Genomic DNA, 9,576 nt, shown 5'->3' with positions numbered 1-9,576 from the left:
TTAACAGTTCTACAGGAGTGGGAAGTTCTCACAATCATGGCAGAAGGCAAGAAAGAGCAAGTCAACATCTTACATGGGTGGTGGCAGGCAAAGAGAGAGCTTGTGCAGAGAAACTCCTGTTTTTAAAACCATCATATCTCGTGAGACTCATTCATTATCACGAGAACAGTTCAGGAAAGACCCACCCCCATAATTCAATCACCTACCACCAGGTTCCTCCCATGACAGGTGGGAATTGTAGGAGTTACGATTTAAGATGGGATTTGGGTGGGGACACAGCCAAACCATGTCACACTAGTTTACAGAGGTTTATACAACGTTTATTGCAGTATCACATAACAGTTGACATCACAAACTCTGATGCCTGATTATCTTTGCATAATTCCAGTACCAGTTTAATAATTCTGTAAATTAGGGCACATTATTTAAACTCTCTGCTTCAGTTTCCTCATTGGGAACATATGGGAATAACAACCATTCCTAACTCATGAACGTATTGAGATTAGATGAGATTAGACTATTAGAGCTGTGCCTGACCCATAGTAAGTTCTTAGTAAATATCATCTGGCTTGTTTTTAGAGAATTAGTTACATGAATGACTGTATTATAACTACAGAATTCTAGGCAGTCTTTAAAAAGAGAAGTCCATTGCTACGTATGCTATAAAAGAATATCCACTATAACTTGCTGAATAAAGAAAAAATATGACATGCATATGAGCATTTTGCATATAAATTGTGTGTGTGTGTGTGTGTGTGTGTGTGTGTGTCTAGAAAAATTTCTAAGTAGCTAAAACCATATCTGTCAGTGCCACTTCCACAGTTGCACTGGAAATAGAGATAGAGTAGCCAAAGGCAGTCAATTTTATTATAAAGTACTGTATGGTTTGAATTTTTATAAAATTTAAATAAAGCAATGTTGTTTCATTGTAACACTGAAGAAAAATAAATAAATAGATTTCCAGCTGGGAAAAAAAAAAAAATTTAAATAAAGCCAATAAAATAAGATAAAAAATCTTTTCCAGCATACCCTGACCAATCCTGTCTGTCTTATCCTATGTAATACTAAAGCCTATCTGATATTCATTTGAAATCTCTTTCATTACCTCTCTTTCTTGACTGATGCTATAGATGCAGGCATCAGCACTTCCAAATAATGTAAAATGGTACATCGTATTATTACACAAGTATTGCTCTTGTCCCCACTTCTTGGTCTGAAATATTTCTCTTAGTTTCAGCTGAGTATAAATAAATAAAATGCTATACCTATTCCAGCCCAACCACCATGAACATTTCATGAAAAAACAAATGAACAAACAAAAACTAACCAAATGGTCAGCCAAGAAACATGGATTTAATTCTGGTCCTGTAAATAGAAAAAAGCAATGCTTTCCATCCTGACGTAGCCAAGACACATGACAAACAATGGAGGCCACGGTGAAGAAAAATTGCAATTACAGATTTAAGTTTATTCTCACTCTGTCATGATACTTTGCTTATGATTATTGCTACATATTGTAAAAGTGCAAGTACTGGTGTAAGAAAATAACAATGACTACCTTTCAAATGTGCATACTACCTTTCGGATGATTGAAAAAATAAGGTAAAAAACAGATATCATATCTTCAGATGAAAATATTGACAGATTACATTTATTTATTCAGTCATTTATTCAGCAAGTACTTATTGGGCACCAATGATATTCCAGGTACCATTCTAGGTTCAGGGGACAAAGTAATGCACTGAAGAAAGGTCCTACCCTGATGGAAGGGACAGAATGACAACAAATGGAAATATAATGTCTCTCAAACTGATAAAAACCCATACACACATTTAATCTTCGCAAGCTCATAAGTTTGGTGCTCTCATCATTGTCATTTTTCTGATTTTACAAGTGGAAAAAATAAGGAATAGAAAGGTTGTCACTTACATATAAGCAGTAATATAAATAGTTTGTGATAGAAATAATATTCAAACCCCAGAATTTGATGCCAGATCCTGAGGTCTTGATATTCCTGTTCAAAATCACATCACAAGGTTGTTCAGGGGACTAAATGAGATAATTTATGTTGAACCATTTTTTAAATTGTATTTTAAAAAAATATTGACATCATCATCACCATCAGCTATGGTATTTTTGTCTGGGCAAATTGCAAACTCCAAGGTTGGCATTGGAAAACAGCATCGGCTGTGCTAAATTTTTCTTAGGAATTTAGTGAAAGTCCTTTGGTATAAAACAGCCAAGAAAGCCTGTGTGTGATTCAAAGGTCCAAAAAATTCACTACATCATACAGAGGAGGTACAGAGAGACATACGTGTTCAGGGGCTGCAGTGAGGCCCAAAAACTTAGCATGGAGATTATTTGAGAGCACAGCAAGAATAATTCCACCTGATGCCATACCTTGTAGAAAGCTGCTTTTTAAAATGTTAATATAATAACAGTAAAACTAAATATCTTCATACCTCTATAAAGATGACCAAGAGAAATCTCTCTAAAAGAAAGAACTAGAAACTGAGCTATAATCTAGCTGTAAAATCACACCTCCCACATACAAATTATTTATTTCTCAGATACTGCAGCTTCTCTCACCATGGAGTCAAAGTGTAAATATCAATGAAGAATAGCCTTAACATTCAACATACATGTATTGTGAAACCTGAAGGATAATTATTATGAAAGATGGTAATTATCAAATTGAGAATGGAAGATGGAAAAGATGCTAAACTGGGCCAACTGAGTTAATAATTAAAAGGTTATTTTTATACAGCAATGATATACTTACCACAGGAAAAACAAACAGTGGATGATAATTGTCTTAGTGAGGGTTTTATCAGAGAAGCAGATCCACTATAAGTGATACAGAGTAAGGGATTTATTTCAAATTTAGAACGTATGCAACTGTGGCAGTGGTCAGACTGTCTATATAATGCCTCACTTGGCCTGAAATTAGCAGAGTTAGTGGTTGAAAACAACATTTCCTCCAGGAATCTCTTTCTGAGGTCCAGAACGTATTAGGTCTCTATAAAATTAGGACTTGTGTTTGTCTGCATCAGCAGAGAAAATGGAAATAATAATGGCTTTTAAAACTCAGGTTACTTCTCTTACATAAAGAGGTTCAGAGGTAGGAAGACCAACTTTCCATTGTCAATAGGATCCAAAACCCTCTTTCTACACCATCCTGGCACATGATTTTCATACTCAGATTTACCTCAGGTCACTATGTGGCTGCTAGAGATCTTGGCATCATGGTCATGCTAGAGGTCACAAAAAAATAGGATAGAAGAGAAAAATGGTGGTGGTCGTAGTGGGCTTGATCTCTAATTTGTGTCAGGTCTCATTAATCAGTTTTCATGGATGTCCCACACATCACATCTTCTTGCATCTCATAGATCAGAATATCATCACCTAGCTGCAAGGAAAGAAGATAAATTTAGTCCTTATTCCAGGTAGCAATGTGCCTAATAATAATAATAATAATAATAATAATGATTTAAGAATCATTATTTATGGATTCAAGTAATAAAGATGAAAATGTGAACATATTAAATATTAAATTAACTACTAAAGACTTACTTTGTATTTTTTAGACAAAAATACATCCAAATGCAAATTCTATTTTTTTTCTTGCACTCTAAACAACATTCTAGAACATCCCCTGAAATACATACAAATCACTTTGGAAGCCACTGATTTAGAGAATGGAAAAACGTTATTTGAAAGTGACAGATGATGACTAATAGTTCACATGTGTTGATTCCCAAGAGATGCATTATTTCATCCAGCATTTATTAATATAGATTATTTGGAACATTAATATTTAAAATATTATAATGCATATATAATAAACATGCATTGAATTTCTATATTTATTAGATACGATTCAAAAGATTTCAAAGAAAGATATTAAAGTTACTCATGTATAGAGTTAAATATGTCGCTGAATGATTCATGTCATATATTTGAGAGTGAGCACTAAAACACACAGACACTTTGGGTATACACACTGGCACACATACACAAACATATGCATACATACATCCATTTACTTATTCAACTTTTTCTCTAAAACTGAAAATGAATGCATTTTGAAAGGCTAATTTAAATTTCTCTCAGGTTGGCAGAACTAAAATTTATCTTTTGCTTATGATTACTATATATGCCATCTATAAGTTTTTTACAGAATCTTTATTTTTAGTAAATAAAACATTCTTTAAAGAATGTTTAATGTTTAATTCTTAATAGGAAAAAAGGAAAAAAGTGGGTCTTTATTTAACAAGACAATAAAATTTTAGAAACAATAAAACTATAGAATTCATAAAACTTTAGAAACTGTAAAAAATGTGATATTAAAAGTTAAACATTTTTACTTTAAAATATTACCAGAAATAGCTCCATAAATAAATAGCAAAAAAAATTCTTAATTAACCCTTATCTCATCTTAGAAGCTAAAGTTTTGCAACTTCTAGAGTAATTTCAAATAACTGATTTTACCCATTGATGGCCTTACACTACTTATGTTTCCTATTTCAACAGTCATTTATCTTTGAAGTGGCGTAGTTTGAAATGAGCTATTACTCCTTGGGGAAATTCTAGACTTCTGCCTTTCAGTTTCACTTCTCTAAACAACTCAACTTTATAGATGGGAAGATAGGCAACATCTTTTATATATAAAGGAAGAGAAAGAGAAAGGCAGAAAAGAAGATGGACTCTTGATAATCTGTTACTAAATAAGCTCTTTAGTGGAATTTGCTTTATTCCATAATTTACACTATTCTATTCACTTTCTACACCATTTCACGAGCATTGGTACCTGACTGGATTAACCTCTCTGCACTCACAATTATTGTTTATTTGACAGAAACAGCCACATTTTTCTCTGAAGTTTAAATTTCCCAAGGTTGCAAATACAGCCTGGTTCTTACACTGTGGAGGTGTGTGTGTGTGTGTGTGTGTCTGTGTGTGCACTCAAGCATGTGTGTGTCATATATGCAATTACTGATTATTCCCTATTAGGTAGGCTCTGCACTTTATATATCTACTACTAAATTTAAGGGAAGTAAATGCAAAACTATGTTATCAAAATTATAATATTTAACTTTCTATATTACATATATCCATCAAATAGCTATACTGCTACATTCTGCATTGTATATAAATGTATTTGGAATATAAAATTGTATTTTCCCTATATTCCCATCTAATGGGGAATTTCATCAACATTATATTAAGATAATCGCATACTATTGCACATCAGGTTTTAGGATTATTTGTAGTTATCTATTTTCTACCTTTTACTGGACTAAATTATAATTAGTCTCTAAAATGCTTTATTGTACTTTGTCTAGAGTATTTTCCTCAATCCCATTTTGTCTGCAGAAAAGAATATTCAGAAAATTTCAAAGAACAGAACAGTAATGCCCTCATGGCATGGAAAGCACATGAGATTGCCCTAAAATACACAAATTCATTTCAAGTCATACACAAATGCACATACATATGTATGTATATGTTCATATATATATAATTTCAAATTCATGTATATGACAAAATTTTCAATTTAATAAATATGTATACACAAAAAATGAAATTAGAAATATTAGAAATATTTGACTAAAAGTCCAGATTCCTCACAAAATAACACAATTCAGTGTGTATCACTCTTTAAAATATGAAACTATGTATACTACTTCAAAATTATCAGAACTTTTCTGCATATGAATCCTGTAGTGGTACTAAAATTGCAACATAATCCTTTCAAATAACAGTGGCTGTTCCATCTGAACTCTAACCTTCTCAGGCTAAGATCAAAACCTGAGCTTAATTCAACTCCTTTCTTAAATCAAACTATGTGCCCAAACAAGGCAAAGCAAAAATACACAATAGTTTGAAAACTACATATTAGTGAAGCACTCATATTGGTTGATTTTTAAAGATATTTTACTAGAAAATAATGTTAAACCACTGAAAATAAAGGCATCTCAAAATGTAACCACTGGAGCTAGGTATAATTTTAACATTATAACCAACTGTAATAATTTGGCTTAAAAATCAAGACTCAGAGTACATAATGTTCTTCTTAAACACTTCTACATTGTATTCAAGTCAGTATTGACTTTGAAAATTTTTGTGACTTCAGATTTTGTATAGTTGTTTTTCTTAGACTTTTCCTATCTTCTACATTTTGTTATGGAATAATTCAGAGCAATAGTCCAGGTTATTCTTGATGTGAGAAATAGTGACAAATAGCACAACTCTAAAAGCTGACAGTATCTGTGAAGATAAGCAGCCAGCAGCATTTTATCTTGGTGTTGGAACAGAGGCGAGGGTGTGAGAATATGGAAATTAACTTCCAATTTTGAGCCACCTCTATTGCCTTTGAAGAGATCCTTCTCCTCATTACTACCCCATACCTACCCAGTTTTCACAATATTCTTTTTTTTTAAGAGCAACCCTTGTTGATACATTTCTCTCATGTATACTATTGTATTTATAAGCTTATGATCTGATTAACACAGAAAATAAATGGATCAACAGCAAAATAATTGATAAATTGATAAACTCTTGGTGACTCCACATTGTTTTAATTGCAGACAAAGACATTAAGAAACTATAAAATTATAACATCAACATCTTTTCAAAAACAGCGGTTTGCTGAACACCCATCAAGTCAGAATATTTACTGGTATTTGATTTACAGGTGAAACAGAGGACAGCAGTAAAATGTGATCCAGACCAGGACAGATGTTTGTTGGTGCAATCCCAACTGTAGGTGTCACTAATATTCAAATAGTAGATTAGTGGCTTATACCAGACTCACAGATAGTATTTTTTATAGTTTTGGGCATGTTCATTTGACCATCAATTCATTACCATGTCCTCTAGTTGACAGTTCTCCAACCTGTTGCCCATCAAAATCAATTTTTGAAATGTCTTACAAGCACAGTTGTAAGTACAGTCTAATTCAGATCTACTTAATCAGAATCTTTGGGAAGAAAATGTAAAATTTTTCCCTCCTTCCTTCCCTTCATCCCTTTTTCCCTCCATCTTCTTTCCCCCGTTTTTCTCCCTCCCTCCAGGCATATTATATGACAAAAAAATTAATACTAGATAAAAGAGAGAAATAATGAAAATAAATAAATCAGTATTAAAAATATTTACTTAATAGAACAAAAGTAAATATTTGAATAATTTTTTGAATGAAAAATATGACTTATCAGCTCATATAAAAGTTGTACCAAACTGTTCAAAACCAGATATAATACCAAAGAAGATAACTCCATGTTTTTGTTTTTGCTTTTTTGAGACAAGGTCTTACTCTGTTGCCCACGCTGGAGTACAGTGGTGTGATCACAACTCATTGCAGCCTCGACCTCCGGGGCTCGAATGATCCTCCTGCCTCAGCCTCCTAAGTAGCTGGCACTACAGGCACACGCCACCATGCCTGCCTATTTTTTTCTATTTTTTGTAGAGACAGAGGTTTGCCATGTTGCCCAGGTTGGTCTCAAACTCCTGGACTCAAGCGATCCCGCCTCACCCTCCCAAATTGCTGGGATTACAGGTATAAGCCCCCACAACTGGCCAACAACAGCATTTTAGGCCTTTTAAAATAAGTATTTATTTCAAGGGTGAGAGGTTCCCACTATCATGTTTCTATGGCATTTTATTGAAACTTCTGAAGGTCCAATATGATTGGTTTAGTTGCCTACTTATATACATCTGTAATATGAATTTCTTAAAGGAAATTTAATAGTACTGAGTTTGTCTCTAATTTGGCCCAATTTTTCCTGCTCCTTCCTTGCTTCCACTGCCTAACACACATTTTCCCATCTGTAATTTGTCAGGGTTCTCCAGAGGAACAGAACCAATAGGATATATGTATATATAAAAGGGAGTTTATTAGGAAGAATTGGCTCACATGATTACAAAGTGAAATCCCACAATAGGCATTCTGCAAGCTGAAGAAGAGAGAAGTTGGTAGTGGCTCAGTCCAAGTCCAAAAGCCCCAAAACCGGGAATCCAACAGTACAGCCTTCAGTCTGTGGCAGAAGGCCTGAGAGCCCTGGGGAAGCTGCTGGTACAAGTTTCAGAGCCCAAAGACCAAAGAAATTGGAGTATGATGTCCAAGGGCAGGAAGAGCAGAAGCAAGCAACCAGCATGGAAAGAAAAAAGAGAGCTGCCTGCCTTGTCCTAGCTGGCCGGCAGCCAATTAGATGGTGCCCACCCACATTTAGTGTGAGTCTTCCTCTCCCAGTCCACTGACTGAAATGTCAGTCTCTTCTGGAAACACACTCAGACACACAGAGAAACAATACTTTACCAGCCATCTAGGCATCCCACAATCCAATCACGTTGGCACCTAATATTAACCATCATGCTATCTCATTCATCTCTTAAATTCCCTTTCTTCCTTCTAAATTAAGCTTGTACATTCAGTAAATAATTATTGAATGCCTATTTAGTGCCAAGAGTTGTGATTCCATAGAAAATACAAAATGGAATTAAGCTTTGTTTCTTCATCAAAGATATTACTGTCCTGCTGTTGGGAGTGATAGGTAAATAAATAATTACAGAAAGGTATAACGAAGATATGCCTGGAACCGATCCCCAATGAATATCAAGGGACAACTGTATATCATTACTATTTAGGCTTTAATGTGTCTACTTGACTGTGCTGAACTACATTTTCCAGCATTCCCTTAATTGTATGTTAGGGTGGACCACAAGGGAGACATTTGGCAGATCTGAAGAGCAGATAGGAAGCAACAACTTTTATTGCTAACACTTGTTGTTGCTGATCTTTGAAATGCAGCTAAAGCAGTATTGGGAGGAAAGTTTACAGTGCTAAAATCCTACATCAAGAAGTTAGAAAGATCTCAAATTAACAATTTAACAGTGTACTTAGAGGAACTAGAAAGAAAAGAATAAGCCAACCCCAAAGCTAGCAAAAGAAAGAAATTAACTAAAGTCAGAGCACTGAATGAAATTGAGATGCAAAAACTTATACAAAAGATTAATGAAACCAAAAGTCTGTTCTTTTATAGATGAAACAAGATTGATAGACCACTAGCTAGATTAACAAGAAAGAAGATCCAAATAAGCACAATCAGAAATGACAAAGATGTCATTACAGCTGATCCCACAGAAATACGAAGGATCCTCAGAGATTATTACGAACACCTCTGAGCACACAAATTAGAAAACCTAGAGGAAATGGATAAATTCCTGGACATGCATAACCACCCAAGATTGAACCAGGAAGAAAGTGAAAACTTGAACAGACCAATAACAAGTTCCAAAATTGAATCAGTAATTTAAAAAAACCTACGAACAAAAAAAAAGGCTTGGACCAGATAGATCCACAAATGAATTCTACCAGACATACAAAGAACTGGTACTAATTCTACTGAAACTACTGCAAAAAATCAAGGAGGATGTACTCCTCCCTAACTTATTCTATGAAGCCAGCATCATTCTGATACCAGAATCTGGCAGACACACAACAACAACAAAAAAGAAAACTTCACACCAATATCACTGGTGAACATAGACACAAAAATCCTCAACAAAGTACTAGCA

At 34.2% G+C, this 9,576-nt stretch overlaps 1 protein-coding gene across 3 annotated transcripts in view; it reads right to left on the bottom strand.

The window, feature by feature from the left end:
- Nucleotides 1-298: 298 nt before the first annotated feature.
- The window catches only part of LINC02798 (long intergenic non-protein coding RNA 2798), a 67,558-nt gene continuing 58,280 nt past the window's right edge, over nucleotides 299-9,576 (bottom strand). For all 3 annotated transcript variants that reach the window (XR_007066532.1, XR_007066534.1, XM_047438024.1), the window contains one exon: nucleotides 299-3,409. The gene's annotated coding sequence lies outside the window, so the exon portion shown is untranslated. The remainder of the gene's footprint in view (nucleotides 3,410-9,576) is intronic.

The sequence above is a fragment of the Homo sapiens genome, chromosome 1 (assembly GCF_000001405.40).
Source record: "Homo sapiens chromosome 1, GRCh38.p14 Primary Assembly".
NCBI classification, from domain to species: domain Eukaryota; kingdom Metazoa; phylum Chordata; class Mammalia; order Primates; family Hominidae; genus Homo; species Homo sapiens.
Note: the sequence above shows the minus strand (reverse complement) of the source record. Positions and strands in the feature narration are given on the sequence as shown.